The sequence below is a fragment of the Homo sapiens genome, chromosome 8, assembly GCF_000001405.40.
Source record: "Homo sapiens chromosome 8, GRCh38.p14 Primary Assembly".
Classification (NCBI taxonomy): domain Eukaryota; kingdom Metazoa; phylum Chordata; class Mammalia; order Primates; family Hominidae; genus Homo; species Homo sapiens.
Window position 1 is genome coordinate 54,425,675 of NC_000008.11, and position 22,273 is coordinate 54,447,947.

Below are 22,273 nucleotides of genomic sequence, written 5' to 3' on the forward strand. Positions count from 1 at the left end.
TATTGTCTTGAGCAATGAAGCAAGGCTGCAGGGAGTCCACAGAGAAGCTGCTGGAGTGAATTTCCTTATCGATAATTCTTATCAGCTCAAATATGCCACTGCTCTCTGACATAGTTTGAATGTTTTCAGAATATGTCCTTTCTTTTTAGTCTTATGGTATCGTTTTTTCTTTTCTTTCTTTTTTTTTTTTTTTTGAGACAGGGTTTTGCTCTTGTTGCCCCAGGCTGGAGTGCAATGGCGCGGTCTTGGCTCACCTCAACCTCCACCTCCTGGGTTCAAGCAATGCTCCTGCCTCAGCCTCCAGAGTAGCTGGAATTACAGGCAAGCGCCACCATGCCCGGCTAATTTTGTATTTTTAGTAGAAACGGGGTTTCTCCATTTTGGTCAGGCTGGTCTCGAACTCCCAACTTCAGGTGATCCACCCACCTTGGCCTCGAAAAGTGCTGGGATTACAGGCGTGAGCCACCGTGCCCGGCCCGTTTTTGTTTTGTTTTGTCTTTTAATATAGAAGAGTAGGTATTAAATACGTTTTCTTTCCAGATTATTTTGGTTTAGTGAGATAACTAAATAATATTCAAAAGGAGGAATTTGATCAGCATCATCTTAAAAGCTATCTGAAATCTATTTCTAAGCCCCAGGGTGCCCTGGGCTGGTGAGCCTGCCCAGCCTCTGGGGGTGGTATGGACTGAATGACCGCAGGAAGGAAAGTGAGTCTGTGCCCTCTGTAAGCCTCTTTGTGGACTTTAAACAGTACTTGTGGACCACCTCCCTGGGCGTGCTTCTTTGTGGAGTTACTCATTCTCTTGGTTGTTATATTTACCTTGTGAACTTCATTCCCTCTAAAAGGTAGCTAAGGATACAGCAGAATGACTTGAAGAGTCACCATTTAGTAAATGTTTGGTTTGACATCTGCCAAGAAACAAATTAACATTGATGTCGGCCTGGGTGCATAGGAAGTACCAACACTGATGAGTGTTGCGGAGACCTTACTTAGTTCCAAGTGCTTTATGTCCAGCATTGCATTGACTCTTATTGCAACCTTATTAATAGAATGAGAGCACCATTATTACCTGCTTTAAAAATGAGAGGCTTGCAAATTACCGGGTGTGGTGGTGGCACCTGTAGTCCTAGCTATGATGAGGCTGAGGCAGGAGAATCACTTGAACCTGGCAGGTGGACGTTGCAGTGAGCCGAGACGGCGCCACTGCACTCCAGCCTGGGTGACAGAGCAAGACTCCATCTCAAAATAAATAAATAAAAAATAAAATAAAAATGAGAGACTTGGAGTGATTCACTTAAGGTCACACATAATAAGCAGCAGGACCAAGACAAGAAACTAGACCTTTAAACGGTATGTTACATAAATGATACATATTTTTCTTTGGATGGCTCCTTTCCCCATGAGTTTACAATGCATCATTTACTGAGGACAGAAGGTACCGCAAATGAGTTCGTCCTCACCAGACATGATCTTGGTGCTGGAGTTATGGGTAGAGGGATGGAAACTGTCCCGTTCCTCCTACAGTCAAAGAGCTGGCTTCCTCAGGCAAGAGGCTGAAATTTGATTTAGCTTTGCAAACATGGCTCCTCCAGGCCCTCAATTTTGACTGCCATAACACACACAGAAAATACAGGAGCTGATTCTCCCCGCTCCCCCCGCTCCCCTGGGTCTTACTCTTCTTCACTGTTCAGCTCGTCCTTTGGGTGTTTTCATTCACCCATATTCCTCCAATCAGTTCCCTCTCTGGGAAGTTAGCCAGATTTCATTGCTGTAGTGAGCACTCAAAGAACCGCATATGTAGGATACTTATAAAATTCATGGCACTGTGTGTGGCAGCAACTGCTTTAATCCTGGAGATAAGTCATTCCTCAACATCTAGGTGACTATATCCTGAGGCACTGGGAAGTAACTTCCTCAACACTGAATAGCAAACCAGAGTTAGAATGTGTACAAGTCCACCACTCCTTATCCACAATTCTAAAACCCAAGCAGCTCTAAAAACCACCAGCAAAACGTGGCCTGACCTCATATGCCGTGGTTGACGGTCTTTACCTTACTTAATATAATACAACTCAAGTTGTGACTCACAGAACCTGTGCTCCTCCCCCGTTAATGGATAATGGTCTTGAAGGTTTCAAGTTTGTGGTGAGCCTCCACCCTCATGGTCATCCTCCACTGTCGGCTCCTCCTTCTCATAAATGTCAGCAGCTTCCAGTGATTGGTGGGGTAGGTGGGGGCTATAAGTTTCTCACCCAAATTTGCAAATCTTGGACCACATCCTGACAAATGCATAAATGTTTAGCAAGTAAATTTCAAAATTCATAACTTCTGAACTTTTATGCTCAGGGAAACCCCTCCTTCCCTTTTTTTTTTTTTTTTGATACGGAGTCTTACTCTGTCGCCCAGGCTGGAGTGCAGTGATGTGATCTCAGCTCACTGCAACCTCTGCCTCCCAGGTTCAAGTGATTCTCCTGCCTCAGTCTCCTGAGTAGCTGGGATTACAGGCGTGCACCATCACGCCTGGCTAATATTTGTATTTTTAGTAGAGACGGGGTTTCCCCATGTTGACCAGGCTGGTCTTGAACTCCTGACCTCAAGTGATCTGCCCACCTCAGCCTCCCAAAGTGCTGGGATTACAGGCGTGAGCCACTGTACCTGGCCCCCTCTCTGATCTTCAAAGAGTACCCGCATGAGAGTTCACTCTGTGCTGGGTGCAATTGTGTTCTGATGTGAGGACCACATGAGCTGAATGGATCCTTTTGCAGTCCACACCTGAAATTGTAAAAATAAACAAAATAACTAAGAAACCCCTGACAATCCAACACTAAAAATCAAAGTTATTTTTTCAGCTTATTTGATAGAAAACAATCTGATACTGAGGGTTCGTTATAATTTCATTCATCCACTAAGTGCGAATACTTACATGTTTTGTGTTGAAGTTTTAATACATTTGCTTCCAGGGTGTTTCAGACCTCTCTGGGTTATTAATAACTGCATGGCGAATGCATTTTATTCTTTTTCTACTTGGCCCAAAGGCTCTGAAGAAGGGATTAAGATCCTGTAATTTGTTCATTCAAGAACAAAAGGCCCATGTAATCTTTTTAGTCACCACTTATCTTGAACACCATGACTTTCACCAACAAAAAAATTATTTAGCATACTTTATTCCAATTAGTGAATACATTTTTTGGTGTAGAGATTAGTAGTTTATTGCCTATTAGCCATTGCTATGGTAAAGTTTCTGATACTTGAAATGCCAGCTAACTACACTTGCTATTTGGCTGAAATATAATTTGCATGAAATAATCATCACATAGTCACTATAATACTCTAAGCACCAACATTTTAAGAAATGTGAACTATTTGCTATGAAATTATTTTAAAATTCCTGGCCAGGCACAGTGGCTCACGCCTGTAATCCCAGCACTTTGGGAGGCCGAGGTGAGCGGATCACGAGGTCAAGAGTTCGAGACCAGCCTGACCAACATTGTGAAACCCCGTCTCTACTAAAAATACAAAAATTGGCCAGGCGTGGTGGCATGTACGTGTAATCCCAGATACTCAGGAGGCTGAGGCAGGAGAATCGCTTGAACCCAGGAGGTGGAGGTTGCAGTGAGCCGAGATCACACCACCACACTCCAGCCTGGGCAATAGAGCGAGACTCTATCAAAAAAAAAAAAAAAAAAAAAAAAATTCCTTAGAAACCTGCCCATATTTTAAAATGAAAAGGTTTAAACTGTATTGGAAAACCTACAGGAGTATGATTTCAACCAACAGAAAAGCATTACAAACCTCCGCACCCAGTTTCTTTTTCATTATCTCCTAACTATTAAAGTGGTGTCGCTTGGTGCCACTGCACGCAAACACAAATCCAAGCAGGAGACTAAAACTGTCAGTGGTTGTTAGGAGCCGGATATCCACATGACTTAGAATGTATCTATATTGATATTTTTAACCAACCAAAATCCAAACATAAAATTGCATAGAAAATCCATAGATCCCCAAGAATATGTCTCAGAATTCCTCAGGCCCATGAACTCTACTCTGAAAAACACTAAACAATTCCTCTGCCATTATATGTGAAATCCAAAGGGAGAACTGAAGACTCAGGCTGATCCCAGAACACCGTACCATCTTAAGCTAGCTAAGCATATGAACTTATTCAATCTACCTATAGTTTTCCTGCCTTCAAGCACTCCCCTGGACTGTGATAAAAATATATGTGTACTTGGCATGCAATGGAATCCTGCCAAGAAGGGCAACTGTTTCTTATAAATGCTAAATAAACCTAAATTTCTAAAAATTATTGGAAATAAATTCAAATGAACCAATAAAATTTTTAAATGAACCAGTAAGTATATTTTAACGGAACTGAGTTCATTGAAATTTTAAACACCTAGAGTTTATTGCTGGGGGGAAAGGATTTGTGAAGAAACTTCATTTATTGCATTATCTGAATTTATTAAAAATATTTTGCTTGGCCAGGAGCAGTGGCTCCTGCCTGTAATCCCGGTACTTTGGAAGGCAGAGGCAGGCGATCACCTGAGGTCAGGTGTTCAAGACTAGCCTAGCCAACATGGTGAAACCCCATCTTTACTAAAAATACAAAAAAAATTAGCCAGGCATGGTGGTGCACGCCTGTAATCCCAGCTACTCAGAAGGCTGAGGCAGAAGAATCACTTGAACCCAGGAGGCAGAGGTTGCAGTGAGGCGAGATCGTGCCATAGTGCTCCAGCCTGGGTGACAGAGCCAGACTTCGTCTCAAAAAATAAATAAATAAAATAAATAGAAAATAAAAATAAAAATTTTGCTCATCCTATCCATGTATTTTCAATTTAGTAAGTGTAAACATAGTAGATACTTTCTGTTGTAGCATGTAAGGCTTGATATTATTTCAATGGGGGAGGATTTCTAGCTTGGTAGTAAATTGCATTTTACAGAGGACAAAAAAAAAAAAAAGAATGCAAGCATTTTAACCCTCACCAAGGATGCTGAAAAACTGATACAGTTTGCTCTGTTTCAGAGAAGCCTGGAAAAATTTAACAAAACTGGAGAGATCTAGGACTAAGGAGAGGTTTCAGAGGCTCTTTGGATTGAGCATTTGGCAGGACTCTGGGACAATTCCCATATCATCCCAAATTTATCCAAAGCCAAGAAATCTATAAAAAAGAGATCACCATACTCTCGAGATGGGTTGGAGGTGAAGGGTCATTTGTTTTGCAGCTTTATCCTGCGTATTAGACTTCTGTTTCCTAGGGAACAGTAAATGATAGCATGAGGCTTACTTGTTTAAATGCAATCTCTCAATGGTGTAAGGCACCATAAATAAAAATCAAGTTGACCCAAAACACAATGCTACTTAATATGTAATAATGTTGTAATATATAGATGTTTAATGTAAAAGATCAGTTTTAAAATTACTCATTTTTCAGTATTAATGTGACAACAATCAATAGGATATATGTGAGTATATATCTATACAAAGACATATGTATGTATATAATTATAAATTTACCAGTGATGAAGATTGATAACTGTTGTAATAACACAGAAAATACAAACAGGCTGGGCGCAGTGGCTCACTCCTGTAATTCCAGCACTCTGGGAGGCTGAGGTGAGAGGATGGCTTGAACCAGGGAGGTCAAGGCTGCAGTGAGCCGTGATGGCGCCACTGCCCTCCAGCCTCGGTGACAGAGTAAGACCTTGTCAAAAAAAAAAAAAGAAAGACAAAAGAAAAAAGAAAGAAAATACATGCAAATAATTGTCCTGTTATCAAGCATGTGTCTTTTGATTGGTTCTTGAACATCTGTCCGGAGTCAGTTGTATATGTTTCTCTGCTGTAAATGCATTTTTTTCCTCTCAAGACTTAAAGAAATAACAACAACAACAAAAACCCTCCAGTTTACCCGGATACTTTTTGGTGGCTCCAAGAGGATCTGATTGTGTCCTTGACCTCAAGGGCCACCTGAAGAGTAGTAAGAAGGCCTTTTCTTATGGGATGTTGGAGCAACTCAAATCTGTAAACTTGTCCCTGTTGCTCAGTTTAATTGAAAGCTGCCTTCATTTATTGCCATTTTGAACATGACTGAATTGGGATGAGAAGAGAGCGCATTTCTTCCTGATCGTTTTGAATCTTTTTTATAAGTTGCTTCTCTTTTCCACGGGAAGCTATGGTTATGTATACGGTGAGCAAGGTAAAAATGAATAAAATCCTGACTAAATGTTTAGCGCCACCTATTGGTAGTGAAGTACATATTGATTCTTGGTGACAGACATTCCCACCAAAGAGAGCAGAAGTAATTTTAATGATTCTTTTTCTTCCAGTGTATATGCCTGTATGCATGCTTTATTATGACTATTATATTTAAATATAAACATATACTTAAATTTTGGTAATAATATAAATATGGAATTCTTCTAGGTTATGATTTGTATTATTTAGCTTCACAATACCCTTGAAGTAGAATATGCAGTGATAGTCTACTTTTCAACAGTAAAAAGAAAATTCTAGGCTGGGTTCAGTGACTCATGCCTGTAATCCCAGCACTTTGGGAGGTTGAGGCAGGAGGATGGCTTGAGTCGAGGAGTTCAAGACCAGCCTGGGCAACATAGTGAGACCTTGTCTCTACAAAAAAAAAAAAAAAAAAAAAGAAAAAGAAAAAAGAAAAAGGAAAAGAAAATTCTAGAGAACGGGGAAGAAACAACAACATGACATTGTCACATGTTGTTTGTTATGTTTGTCTTGAAATACATATTGTCACCTATACACAAAGTATCTTGAATGTGCTCTATATCTTTTGAAACCGCCTTTAAAATGGTTTTCCACAGAAATTTGAGTTTGAAATAATGATGTTATTTAAATTCAGTTACTTATCTGTGCTAAGAATGAACTGGCCACAGATGGTGCTGAGACAACTGGATTTGCACATGGAAAACAATAAAGTTGGACTCCTACCTCATACCATAAATGACACTTAAATCAAAATGGATCAAATGCCTAAACAAAATGTAATATATAGGCCAGGCATGGTGGCTCATGCCTGTAATCCCAACACTTTGGGAGGCCGAGACAGGAGGATTGCTTGAGTCCAGGAGTTCAGGACCAACCTGGGCAAAATAATGAGACCTTGTCTCCATTACTTTTTAAAAAAGTAATATATGCATATAATGGGCTATTATTTGGCCTTAAAAAGGAAGGAAATTATGACACATGCTACAACATCCATGAACCTTGGGGGCATGCTAAATGAAACTGGCCAATCAGAAAAAGACAAAGACTGTAGAATTCCATTTATAAGAGGTAGTCAAATTCATAGAGACAAAAAGTAGAATGCTGGCTGCCAGGGCTGGGGGCGGGGAGAAATTCGGATTGTTGTTCAGTGGATACAGTTCCCATTTGGGAAGGTAAAACCATTCTGGAGATGGATGGTGGCAATGTTTGCACAACAATGTGAATACAATCAACACTACTGAATTGTATACTTAAAATGGTTAAGGTAGTAAATTTATTGTATGTGTGTTTTACTATAATAAAAAAGTAAAACTTTTTAAATGTCTCAGACTCCTAAATGTAAGAACTAAAATTAAAATTCATAATAGAAAACATAAATATAAATCTTCATGATCTTGGATTAGGCAGTAAGTTCTTAGATCTGACGCCAAAAGCAGAGACAATCAAAGAAAAACAGAACAAACACATTTCATCAAAATTAATAAGTTTTGTGTTTCCAAGGAAATCATTAGGAGAGTGAAAAGGCAACTAGGGAGAAATCATTTGCAAATCGTATATCTCATAAGGAACTTGTATCTAAAACATAAAAATAACTTTTAAGGCTCAATAATAAAAAGACAAACAACTCAATTTAAAATGGGAAAAGAGTCTGAACATTTTTCCAAAGAACGTACACAAATAGCCAGTAAGTACATGAAAAGATGCTCGATATCATTAGTCATTAGGGAAATGCAAATCAAAACCACGGTAGGATTCTGACTCATACCCATTCAGATGGCTGTACTAAAAAAGATAGATAATACCAAGTACTGGCGAGAATATGGAGAAATTGGAACCCTCGTACATGGTTGGTAGGATTTGTAAATGGTGCCGACACTTTGGAAAACAATCTGTCAGCTCCTAAAATGGTTAAGGTTAGTTACCATATGGTCCAGCAATTCCACCAAAAATAATTATAAAGATAAAAAACTTGTATACAGATGTTCATAGCAGCATTATTCATAGTAGTCAAAAAGTGGAAACAAACAATCCACATGTCTATCACCTGATGAATGGATAAATAAAATTTGGCATAGCACACAATGGAATATAATTCAGCCATAGAAAGAAATGAAATGCTGATATATGCTACAACACAAATGAGCTTTGAAAACATTGCACTAAGAGAAGCCAGTCATAAAAGACCACATATGGTATAACTCCATATGTGTTATATGTGAAATGTCTCAAATAGGCAAAACTATAGAGATATGAAATTTCTGTGAAATGTCTCAAATAGACAAAACTATAGAGATATGAAATAGGGTAGTTCTTTCTTTGGGCCATATCTGGGGGGATAAACTGCTAAAAGTTTCTTATGGGGTCACGAAAACATTTAAAAATTAATGGTGATGATGGTTCCAGATATCTCAATATACTAGAAATCACTGAATTTGTACACTTTTAAAGAATGAATTTTATATGTAACATCTTAAAAAGATGTTAATGGGTCAGCACTAGATCCACCATTGTCAACTTGTGACATTGATTTAAAAATACCTTCAGAATGAGCAAGACTAGAAAAAGAGATATGAGATGTGAATCATATAGAAGGATGTGAAACATCCTTCATGGTATTAAGGAATATAAAACTATTTATATTTAGATTTAATGAATGTGAGTATTACAGTGCTTTATTTACAGCAAATAATTTCCACTAAAATTAAAGAGACATTGGTCTTATCATTCCTTATCTCTATACTCTTTTCAGCAAACAATATGAACAAGCATCTTAAACCTAGAAATTGTCCCCCAGCTATGACAATTGCTCTCCTTCCTGGAACTGCCTTTCCTATATGTTAATTTCCTCAGTGCAAAAGCTGTTATTTTCATTCAGAATGTTAAAGATACCCCTAGGAAAAGTCATTTTAAAAGTCTTGATTTTCACAGCCTTCTTCTGCATTAGAAGCTTAAGAGATATCCTAGGGCTAGTCTTCACTCCAGGTTTTAGGAGCAATCTAGGTAAGAATCTGCAGAAGCTAGGTGAAAATGCAGATCCATGGAAGCTATTTCAAACCTATCACATCCTTCCCCAGGTAATTTTTATACTAATATATGCTAGAATGCGATAAGGTTAAAAATATTCTACTTCTCCACTTTATCAGAGAGGTGGGAGTTTTGAAATCTCATTGCCATGCAAAGAACTACGGCCCAGAATGTGATAAATGAAAGGCACCTAAGAGTCATGTAGGGCAGTCCTTTTATTCTGTGAAGGAAGAAACAAGATGATTAGGCCAAAGCCACACAGATATTAGCTGCACAACCAGCACAAGATTGAGCACGAGATGGGGCTCGGGTGTTGTGACGTCCAGCGCAGTTTCTTCAGCTCAGTTAGGGCAGAATTAGGTTGATTGGGCACCATTGAAGTACATGCTACATCCATCCACCATTAGATGAAACCTCTAATTTTAGTTCTGCTTATTATTTTTTATTTTATATATTTTTTATATTTTATATTATATTTATTTTATTTTGGTTTATTTTATTTAATTTTACTATTATTTTTTAAGACAGGATCTTGTGCTGTCACTCAAGCTGGAGTGCAGTGGCGCAATCACAACTCACTGCAGCCTCGAACTCTTGGGTTCACGAAGTCCTCCCACCTCAACCCCCCAGTAGCTGGGACCACAGGCACGCAACCACCATGCCTGACAAATTTTTTAATTTGTAAACGTTTTTGTAGAGATAGGGTCTCACCATGCTGCCCAAGCTGCAATTTTAGTTCTATATAAATAGGGTAGCCCAGGGAAAAGAGAGGGGAGCTACCATGGGGAAGGGGTTACTGTGGATATGATTTTTAAAATTTTCTCTGCTACAGCTCTTCCACGTTTACCCACATAAATTTGAAGTTTAATTTTTAGTCTCTAGAAAGCATTTTGTGATGTCTTTTAAAATATTATGTATGTATTAAGAAAGCTTGCATCCATATGTGTAGAACTATTTCCTTTTCTTTTTGGGCACCCGTGGCTCTCTATTAATATTAAGAATTTCTTAGATGTTGCAATTCTTCAAGGAAACAATTTCAGAAGATAGTTTCTTTTCCTCCCTTCCCTTCCCTTGCCCACATTTCTCTCTCTTTTTACTTCCAGTTCTGGAAATTGGCCAGCAGAATTATTTATGGCTCTTAGTTCCCATCACACCTTAATAATAAACAGAAGGAGTTTTCCTTTGTTTTAAAATTTCAACAGTACAGTAGTTAAAAATTGGCTTCCATCAGAAAACTCTTTCTCCAAGTCTAATTTGCTATGCCATGTATATACATGATTAACCAGTACAATACGTACAGCAAAGAAACCAGGTGAGAGATTTATTGATTCTGGCTGAAACAAATTGAAAAGTAACCTTGAACACTTTGTGAAGTCCATAATTGAGTTCCACAAATCAACTTTGGAGCCAGTTTAGCATGTCCATTTAGTTGAGGCAAAGAGCCTGTGTTTGATCTAACTTAATAAAGTAATTCCAGTGTAAAAAGGTAGGTCAAAATGACTACCTTCTAAAATTCAAAGTTCCTTTTTTCATGAGAGAAATTATATTTATTTCAAACAGAACTAATGATACTGTATTTGGTACAATATGTTATTTTCTTAGATATCTTAGGGGTACCTTCTACTAACTAATACTTTGGGATAGGCTTCTGGGATTCATGAGTGTCACCAAGTTCAGAGCTGATCTTAAGCAAAACTGAATGGCTTGGCCCTTCTAGAAAATTATCTTGCCTCTGATAACTCAAAATTCAAATTGAGATTGTAAACTATAACATAGAAGTATTTAGTGTAGGTGATATTATAGAACAGGTATCTGTTCTACTGATAGTCACCCCATTTGAGTTAAATATGCTATGTGACAATATTAAGAAGCTATGTCTTCTGAAATTGTGTAAACTTTAAAAAATATATGAAAAATTAGAATACTATACAAAACAATAATTATTAAACCTTCTCCCACTTTCTGGGATATCCAAGTCTAATTTGCTATGAATTATAATTATTAAACCTTCTTCCACTTTCTGGGATATCCAAGTCTAATTTGCTATGCCATGAGAGTGGCATGCTGCCCAAGCTGCAATTTTAGTTCTATATAAATAGGGTAATCCAGGGAAATCAGAAATGCAGAGTGTGTTTATAAGCACATGTGAATAATTACAATAGCAGACACACAATTTTAAATTCAAATTTGTTGTTGTTTTTTGTTGGTTTTGTTTCTTGTTTGGGAACCACAAAATAAGCCTGTCTTTCTTTGGATCTTAAAATTTATTCACAATGTTTTCATGTTTTATATTAGGAATTATCTGGTTCTACAGAAGTAGAGAATTCCATTCCTACGGGAATATCAGAAGGAGGTTAAAGTGGGCACAGGTAAATCATCCATTTGGCTATCAAAAAGTCTGATTCTGACCAGGCGCAGTGGCTCACGCCTATAATCCCACCACTTTGACAGGCCGAGGCGGGCAGATGACCTGATGTCAGGAGTCGAGACCAGCCTGGCCAAGATGGTGAAGCCCCGTCTCTACTAAAAATACAAAAATTAGCTGGGCGTGGAGGCGGGCACCTGTAATCCCAGCTACTTGGGAGGCTGAGGCAGGAGAATCACTTGAATCCGGGAGGCGGAGGTTGCAGTGAGAGGAGATTGCGCCACTGCACTCCAGCCCGGGCGACAGAGTGAGACTCCGTCTCAAAAAAAAAAAAAAAAAAAAAAAAAAAAAGGCTGACTCTTTTTTCTGGTCCCAAATAAAAATGACTAACTTCTTCAAAATATAGGGTAATAAAATACCCTGAAATGAGTAAAAGTTATTCATTCTGACTATAATACACTTTGTTTTGGTAGAAAAAAAATCTTCATAAATTTAAAAACTGAATAATAAGCCCTTGGTTAATCATTTAACATTAGAACTCCTATTTTCTCTTCTAGCAAATGTTTCCAAACAGAAAAACGACCACAATCAATTTTAGAAAACATGTTTCCCCTTTGAGGAAGGAAGGACAAATAAGATGTTTAAACTGCAGTTGGTAAAATCATTTGCTAACCCTCTGCGTGGTAATGATGCCACATCACCTGCACTTTGCTGTCTTGATCCATGCTGAAGTGATATGTTCTTGGACCCAAGCAGAACTCTCTAGCGATTTGCATGTTTTGTCATATTGTCACAGACACTCATGGTTAAATAAAAACAATCTGGTTAGTATAAAGCTCAATTTGCAGAGAAATAACTATTCTCTGTGTCAGAGTCCACAGGCACCAGAAGAAAACATTTTCACACAGAACATGGCTATGTGCCTTTTAAATCCATTTGCAAAATTGTTTCATTTCTTATGTAAAAAGGTGGAATATTGACTACTGATAAAAATTTCCTCCTACACAAATATTTTTCAGGTTCATCCAATCCCACCCTTACTCAATATAGTGGAACATGAAGCTAAATTCATCTGGAATACTTCACTAACTCCCAAAATGAACAAGGGAGTGGAAAGTTGATAAAAAATACTAGCCCATACATAATCAGGGAAACAAGGGTTGTATGTTAAGTGGATTTTCTTCCATCCGTGTGATTACCTGAATGTCATTTTTAACTTGGGTAACTTAAGGTAAACTTATCTCTCTAAGTTCATCAATATTCCTGCACAAACCTTCATTGCCATTTAATTTTAATAAAACTGAGAAAGAGAGAGTGAAAACTCATGTTACCCATTCCAGGCAGGAAGATGGGAAGAAAGGAAGCATGCCATTCAGAATTCTGAATTGATTTGTACAATGTCTTAGGCAAAAGCTCTTCCAGAAATATCTATGAATTCACGTTGAACATAAGACACAAAATTACAGATAAAGGTTAAAATCAAACTTGTCAGATGTTAACATTATCCTGACTACTCATAAATTGATTCATTTATGTGCTAGAACATTTTTCTACTACCCACCCTGGAGGAGGAGAGAATCCATTTACTGGGAATGTGGAATGTGCTTCGTCCGGGAGGGGAGGGGAAAGAAAGAATCTTGACTGGTGCTATGTAAAGTGGCTGCACCTTTCAACCAGTTTTCAATTTCAAACAAGACTTTTAATATCTATGTCTTTTGATTGTTTCTGACTTTTAATTTTTGAAATAACTGCTTTATTAAGATATAATTTAGATACCAATTTCCTCATCTAACGTGTACAGTTCACTGATTTCTTGGTATATTCAGACTTGTGTAATCATCACCATAATCAAGTTTATAACATTTTCATCACCCCAAAAAGAACCACACACCTTTTAGCCATCACCCCTCAACGCTTTTTTTTATCCTTTAGCCCTAAGCAACTCATAAGTCTACAGATTTGCCTATTTTGAACATTTCATATAAATGGAATCAGGCAATTTGTGGTCCTTTGTGATGGGCTTCTTTCAGTTAGCATAATGTTTTTAAGGTTTCGTGTTTAAATAATTTTTTAAAATTTGGGAATCTTTTCAAATTTACAAAAGAGTGGCTAAAAAACATTGTACGGAAAACCTCCATTTATCCCTTATCTAGATTCATGGTATTGTTAATCATGTTTCTAAAGGTTTTTAATGTCTGTTGTTATAGCAATAAAACATTCAAAATGGTTATATTTATAAAAGAGTGGTCTGCAAATGCTTATAAATAATTTGGATTGTCATTTGGAACATTCTGAAAATGACATGGAACTCAGGGCTATGAAAATCCACTGGTAGATGTGTAGTTGATGTAGGCAGATTGAATTTCCATATGTGCCTGGCATTATTAACCATACAGTCATACAGTCGTGTACCACAGGAACCTTTAGTCAACGACAGACTTCATATATGACTGCAGCCCCATAAGATGATAATGCCATATTTTTACAGTATTTTTCCTGTGTTTAGATATGCATAGTTACACAAATACATTTGTGCATGTAATACTACATTATAATTGCCTACAGTATTCAGTACAGTAACATGCTAGGCAGCCAGGAGCAATAGGTTATACCACATAGACTAGGTGTGTAGTAGGTGACACCATCTAGGTTTGTGTAAGTGCACTTTAGGATGTTTTCACAAAGACCAAATCGCCTAAGGAAGCATTTCTCGGAACACATCCCCATTGTTAAGTGACAGAAGACCATACAAGAAAACTCAAGATTCTCACAATCAAAATGAACATGTAGGAAACAGGGCTTAAGAAGGTCATAGGGCTGGGTGCAGTGGCTCATGCCTGTAATTCCAGCACTTTTGGAGGCTGAGGCAGGTGGATCACTTGAGGTCAGGAGTTCGAGACCAGCCTGGCCAAGATGGTGAAACCCCGTCTCTACTAAAAATACAAAAATTAGCCAGGCTTGGTGGTGGGCATCTGTAATCCAAGCTACTCAGAAGGCTGAGGCAGGAGAATTGATTGAACCCGGGAAGCAGAGGTTGCGGTGAGCCAAGATTGCACCATTGTACTCCAGCCTGGGTGACAAGAGTAAAACTCCGTCTCAAAAAAAAAAAAAAAAAAAAACAAAACTCATAGGGATACCAAGTCCTTTTCCATCATTCTTAATCAACTGGAATTACAACCAATTAGTATTTATTAAGCACCTAATAATTTGTGTCAAAAAGTTGTACAAAGAGGTAAGGAGTAAGTATAAAGAAGAATAAAACAAGGTGGTCAGTTTTAACAAGATGATCTACATTGTGACCTGAACTCTGTCAGCAAAATTAGGACAAAATAGCTATGAAAGATATAAAAAATTAATTCTTTCTGGGAGTAAGACACTACTGGAATCACAAAAGAAGATGTACTCAACAAAGCTTCAAGTCATAATTTTTTTTTCCTTCTGACATTAAAGATTACCAAGGCTCTAGCTCTCTTATGGAAAAAAGTAATAAGATGAAGTTAAGGGGATCTTTTCCTTAGAAGTTTTATTATTTACAAATAATGAGGGGACTAAGAACCTAGTTGTTGTTGTTGACTTTTTAGGAATAATAGTACTCGGGCACCTTGAATTTAAGCTTAGCATAATTATAGTTTTAATCTATGTTGCAACAGTTCTATGGAATATCATTAATCTTTTACCACTTTTAATATATTAAAGCATTGCATCCCAGTCTTGGCTAGGGAACATAATTTAATCTGTATTCAAGCTTGGGGTGCTTGAATACAGATACCCAGGGTTCTCTGCAGATCCCCTTAGGAGAACCTCTGTCAAAAAAAGTTTGGAAAACTCTTTGAAGGACACTCCTTTAGGAGTTTATCAGCTAAATGTAGGATGCTCTGGGTTACTATATTCATTATTGACACCTAGTTTATGGACATAGAAAGTATCCTCACTAAAATATTTAATAAGAAGCATGTTCTACTGTCTTTGAACCAAGACAGAGTGCTCTTAGTAATCAAGGTCAACTGAGCTGGGTGCAGTGGCTCATGCCTATAATCCCAGCACTTTGGAAGGCCGAGGTAGGTGGATCACTTGAAGTCAGGAGTTTGAGACCAGCCTGGCCAACATGGCGAGACACCGTCTCTACTGACAATACAAAAATTAGCTGGGTATGGTGGCAGGTGCCGGTAATCTCAGCTACTCAGGAGGCTGAAGCAGGAGAATCGCTTGAACCTAGGAGGTGGAGGTTGCAGAGAGCCGAGATTGCGCCACTGCACTCCAGCCTGGGTGACAGAACGAGACTCTGTCTCAAAAAAAACAAAAAGTGAACTGGAGTCCTTCGAGCATTGGATAAATACTACAGTGGCTAATAATTTCCCTCTTTACATGTGTAAAACCATGTTAGCAGTTTGGGACACAGAGGGCACAAACTATGGAATGAGAAGATTCAATTCTTCCTCTTGTGTGACCCTGGGGGAGCCATTTCATCCTTTTGAACCTCATTTTCTCTTGTAGAAAAAAAATGAAAAGAGTAAGAATATCTAACTGGTAGGGTAATTTTGATGATGAAATTGAAGTATGTATATAAAAGTACTGTACACACTGTCATTATTATTTTATTTTGTAAAACAATAATTTTTCCACATTCTTGTCCTTTAGAAAGCAGTGCCAACTATTGTAACAACTTTTTTCTTTACGAAGCTACATACCATTTTAAATATATTGTGCAAGTCTATTATATCTGAAAATAAATCTACAAAAGAAATAATTTTCCCCTTTTGTGTACTATTCTGTACTATAGCAATTTTGACCCTTTCACAATTTTGGATCTCCTCCATACAGAAAGTTCCCACTCTAAAAGACTTGAAGATGTTTGTGGATGCCTGGGTTAGAGAAAATGTACAGATATATAAAATAATAAAATAAAATAATTTGAATTCAAAAAAGCTATTTATAAAGAAATGTAACATGCAAGGAATATGGCTACCCAATTTAAGCATCTTCGAGAGTACAGCTATTTGCAATTTAGAATGAAAGGAATTGAGGATAAACAGTTCAAGTGTCTGCCTGGAAAATACAATGGCACATCAAATAATAATTTTAAGTCCTCTGTCTGAACAAAGGCTTTAGTATGGTAATAAGTAGTACAAAGCAATCAATGTTTCATATATTATAATTTTTCACATATGGAAACTTGCAACTACAGCTCTCTGTTGGCTGCATGTGGTGGAAACAAAAGGAAGATGGGAATTTAAGGGACTCCAAGTGTATTTATAAAGTCAGAAGTTACACTGAGTTGGAGGATAGGGTGGAAGGCATGACTTGAAATATCTAGGTGAGGAGAGTTTGGACAAAAACGCTGATCCCATTAGAAAGCCAAATGGCACCTCCCAGGTGTGGAGCAGGCCTGTCGCATCTCACAGGCGGAACAGCGGGCACAGCCGAGGGGACGCCCACTCTAAAGAGGGTGAAGAACTAAACCCCTTAGTTTGGGCTTCTGCCACCAGATCCCCTGGATTGACTATTAGAAACTTCACTTCTATTTCTCCATCAGTAAAACAGAAAAAGAAATATTCGATGGGTAGGAGTAGCTATGGTTAATAAAATAGGTTTAAATATTTGGCAACAGAAGAAAGAATTCAAATCTGTGATTGAGAAGCAGGTCACTGGAAGGTTAAGTTAACCTGAAAACTCCAATTCCCCCTTTCCTCATCACTGCGTAGTTTGCTTTTCAGTCGTTTCACTCAGTCTGCACCTACACTAAATCCCAGCAGCGAAGTTGAAGGCATTCACGTCTCCACTCACCAAGGTCCCTGGATCTGAATGGCCAGGCAAATAACCTAGCTGTGCGATAGCGAATGCAGTCAATATATGGCATAGTGTTCATCTGGTGCTTACGAGTGATAGAAGTTTTTATCTAATTTCACTTTTATAATCAGTTTGAGGTCTCATTATTTTTCCTTTTTTTAAAAAATAAGGACCAGTAACATAAAATGGCAAAAAAAAAAAAAAAAAAAAAAAAAAGGGCTGCTGTTTTAAGGCCCCCTGTGAACTGTTTGTATCCCACCTGCAGGGGAAGTACAGAAACTGCAAGTAAGCAGGTTGGGAATTTGGGAGCAATTTGAATGGAATCTGACACCTGCTGAAATCTAGAATAAAAAAATGTGTATTTTGTATGCCTTTATTTTATTCTTCTAGTGATTTATTTTTAATGTATGTTAAAAGTACTACTGTGTGACAGATTGGAAATAAAGGAAAAACCTGATTCCTCTCCACAGGTAATCAGTGAGAACATTGAATTTTGATGGGCATTTCAATGACTGAGTTATTTTCTCCATAGAAAGAGTGACACAAGTGAGGGGTGAGGGGGTGGGGAGGGAGCCCTGTCTTCAGATCTCCCGTTGTTTGACTTGGGCGTAAGGAACTTTCTGAGTCAACCTGCAGGTGGCTTGGCAGGGATTCCTTCTTCCCAGCTCCTGGCTCCAGGTGATAGCTGTGGTCTCATCTCCTCAGCAAACACCTTCAAAGAGCTCACAGCAGATATGCAGTGGGCAGGGAGATTGGCTTTCTCCAAACACAGGGGAGATTGTGGAGGGGGAGCAGGTGAAAATCATATTGTTAATCACAAACAAACATAATTAACCGGCAACTGGATTAAGATACCTAATCAGTCAAAATTATTTAGAGGCTCTTATAACCATCACCCTTCTTTTGGAAGTTCCTGCTTGCTCTGTGAGATAATGCTCTGTTAATGAAATACATGTCCATAGGGGTCCCCTGAAGGGGACATTCCTCCTCTTAAAGTGACATAATGAGGCTTCAATAAAATCTCTAAGGGGGAAGAGTGTTTTAAAGAACAAGAGGAGACGTGAAAATGTGTGGTCAAGGACTAACCAAGAGTCAAATGCTTGCCCAGCTTTGGTCCCTCTGTGGGCTTTAAAGAAATCCTTCAGTAAGGCTCAGTCTCAGGTGATCTTTCATTCATTCAACAAATCTTGCGGAGTTCCCACGATGGGCCAGTCGCCAGCAGTTCTGGGCATGGGGGGCTGGGTACAGCAATGAACAACACAGGTAACACCCCTGAGAGCTAGCATTCTAATGGGCAGGGGGTAGACAATACAAATAAATATAGAACATAATGACTGCTAGTAATGAGTGCTTTAAAAAATTATAAAGCAGAGAACAGTGTGTCACAAGTTTGTGGAGGAGGTGGGGGACAGTAACGATTCTAGGTAGGATGTCTCTCTGAGTAGGTGTCGCTGAATGAGGGGACTGTAGTTCCAGGCATAGGCAAGAGAATATGAGTTTCGAGCAAAAAGGAGCTTGGCATGTTCTGGGAATGGCCAGAAGCCAGTTGACTAGAACACTGTGATGAAGGCAGAGTCATGAAGGATGGGAGTAGAAGGATAGGAATGAGCCACTTTGGCTGGGCGCAGTGGCTCATGCCTGTAATCCCAGCACTTTGGGAGGCCGAGGCAGGCAGATCACTTGAGGTCAGGAGTTCGAGACCAGCCTGACCAACATAGTGAAACTCTGTCTCTACTAAAAATAACAAAATTAGCCGGGCTTGGTGGCGAATGCCTGTAATACCAGCTACTTGGGAGGCTGAGGCAGAAGAATCACTTGAACCCAGGAGGTGGAGGTTGCGGTGAGCTGAGATCATGCCACTGCACTACAGCCTGGGCAATAGAGTGAGACTCCATCTCAAAAAAAAAAAAAAATTAGATGGTCATGGTGGTGGGTGCCTGTAATCCCAGCTACTTGGGAGCCTGAGGAAGGAGAACTGCTTGAACCTGGAAGGCGGAGGTTGCAGTGAGCCAAGATCGTGCTGCACTCCAGCCTAGGAGACAGAGCAAGACTCTGTCTCAAAAAAAAAAGAAAGAACCAGTTCATATGGGACCTTGTAGGTCACCAGCATGGATAGGATATTTACATAGGATTAAATCAAAATTGATGATTGTGATGTTATGCATGTACACAAGAAAGTGCAAGGAGCATTCACTAATAAAATGTACCTAAATCAAATGCTAGGCAAAAGGTTAAAAAGTAGCTATAAGTTAACCATCTTTATAAATATGCCATTATAATTCATGTGTTAAACAGCATAAAATATGTACTGGCAAAATCAAATTAGCATAGGCCCTCCAACTGTTGAAGACTTAGACTGCTCAAGAATTAAAGCTTCAATTCGAACAACCACCCTAAAACTGAGTTGACATGTTAGGTATTTGTGGATCACACTACATACAATGACCAAACCAGTTAGTCATATACATATGATTGCTATTTGTTAAATCATTCATGCTCAGAGTCTTTGCTTAACCAGAGGCTGCCCCTTCTGGCTCTGGGATGTCCTATCATCACCTTTTCTGTAGACACGACCCTGTCAGATTTTCCTCCTTTAGTCCTGGAAAGGGAGAAAAGATTTGCCAAGAAGAGAAGAGCCTGTTTACGTGCCCTAGGTCATCCACTGCAGCTAACTTTTGGGGTATCTGTTTGTTTTGTTTTTTGAGGCAGGGTCTCGCTCTGTTGCCCAGGCTGGAGTGCAGTGGTGCAATCATGACTCACTGCAGCCTTAACCTCCTGGGCTCAAGTGATCCTTCCACCTCAGCCTCTCGAGTAGCTAGGACTACAGGTGTGCACCACCACGCCTGGATAATAAAAAAAAAAAAAATTGTAGAGACAGGCACTCACTATGTTGCCCAGGCTGGTCTCGAGCTCCTAGTCTCAAGCAATCCTCCCTCTTCTGCCTCCCAAAGTGCTGGGACTATAGGCATGAGCCACCGTGCTTGACCCGTAGCTAAACTTGTACCTGCGCACTGTCAGGTTTCCTGGGGCTGCCAGCAGTGCCGCTCCTGAGCTCTCTAAGAGAAAGCACCACACCAGGGATGTAGAGTTCAGAGAGCCACTGAGCCTGCTTTGGAGACAGAGGGGTTGATCTTCATTTTAATGTAGTTCCACTGAACTTTCCCTCTTACACTGAAGATGGAAATGACTCATGGGAATTCAATCATGCAAAGCAGCAGTATAAATTAGATTGGCCAGCCTCTGCACTTGGGGCAAGTCATGCAATCTGGCTTGTTATGCATTATTTTCTTCATCTACAATCATGGAGAGTAATGTGTGTGTGGGTGTGGCTGACAGCAGGGAAAGGCAATATATTTATGAAATATTTCCTCAAAGCTGCCACATATTTTATTAACACATCTGGAAAATACTATTTAATGCTTACTCCTCTTTCTTCCTTAGGGTTTGTTTTGTTTTGTTTTGTTTTTGAGATGAAATCTTGCTCTGTCACCCAGGCTGGAGTGCAGTTGCACAGTCTTGGCTCACTGCAACCTCCAACTCCCAGGTTCAAGTGATTCTGCTGCCTCAGCCTCCTGAGTAGCTGGGACTACAGGTATCTGCCACAACACCCGGCTAATTTTTGTATTTTTAGTAGAGATGGGGTTTCACCATGTTGGCGAGGCTGGTCTCGAACTCCTGACCTCGTGATCTGCCCACCTCCGCCTCCCAAAGTGCTGGGATTACAGGAGTAAGCCACCGCGCCCGGCCCCCTTATGGTTTTTAAGAAAAGAAATCCTAGTTTTGCTTTAGCCATGACTAAAAGCCCCAGACGCAAAGAATATTTGTTTGTTTGTTTGTTTTGTTTTTTGTTTTTTGAGACAGAGTCTTGCTTTGTTGCCCAGGCTGGAGTGCAGTGGCGTGATCTTGGCTCACTGCAACCTCCAACTCCCCGGTTCAAGAGATTCTCGTGCCTCAGCCTCCCAAGCAGCTGGGACTGCAGGCACACACCACCAATATTTTAGTTCTTAATGGTACAATCTTACAGTTTTAAAACGATGAGTGACTGCATTCAAGACAAACCAAAATTGTGCCTTGTTTTTAACTGATGCCTGAGGAACGTGCCAGCAGGTAAAGGGAGTGAAGACGAAAACATCAATTAGCTTAGAGTTTATGGTCACACTCGATACTTAAAATAATTTTTAAATAGATTTAAACAAGTAATTCTTTCTTTCTTTCGCTTTGGGGCATGGAGGAAGCAGGGTGCTGGGCAAAGCCTGCACAGAGGCGCTGGCATGCCTGGAAGCCAAAAAAATGGGGGCTGGGAGCGGGCAGTGGTGTGGCCGGGAGCCTGATTACAGTGAGCACATATGTGCACATATGGAGAGAAACAGGAGCCAGGTTTCTCACTGTGGGAAAAGAGATTTACAAATACAGCAAAGGAGCAGTCTAGAAAGAACCCTAAGATGTTGGATTGGAATTGGAGACTAACACAAGATATATATATATAAACACACACAGAGGTAGATTTAGAAATAGTTATAGATATGTATGTATGTGGACACACACGTATACATACATGAGCATACATTATTTCCTAGCTCTGTCTTTTGAGGGTGCCTGGAAGCAGGGACAGTACAGTACTGATGAGAACCCAGATTTCCACTTCTAAATGCCATCCTCCACAAAAAGATGCCCTTGATCCTTGGAGAAATGCCTGGATCTAGGGCTAAATGAAGGGAAAATTCAAAACGAGCCTGGAATATCGTGTTGTGCTAAAAACTATGAAAATGGTCAAAGGGTTATAAGGACATATCAAAAGAATACAGGAGCTAGCTCGAAAGGCACCTCACTGGCCAAATCTGTGGCAACTGCAGCACCCAAACTA

General features: G+C 39.3%; 1 long non-coding RNA gene across 2 annotated transcripts in view; it reads right to left on the reverse strand.

Annotated features, from left to right (window-relative positions):
* Positions 1 to 1,221: 1,221 nt before the first annotated feature.
* LOC105375841 (uncharacterized) overlaps positions 1,222 to 22,273 on the reverse strand; it is a 28,089-nt gene continuing 7,037 nt past the window's right edge. For both annotated transcript variants that reach the window (XR_928899.2, XR_928898.2), the window contains exons 2-3: positions 2,657 to 2,773; positions 1,222 to 2,280 (exon numbers count right to left, since the gene is read on the reverse strand). This is a non-coding gene — a long non-coding RNA (uncharacterized LOC105375841). The remainder of the gene's footprint in view (positions 2,281 to 2,656; positions 2,774 to 22,273) is intronic.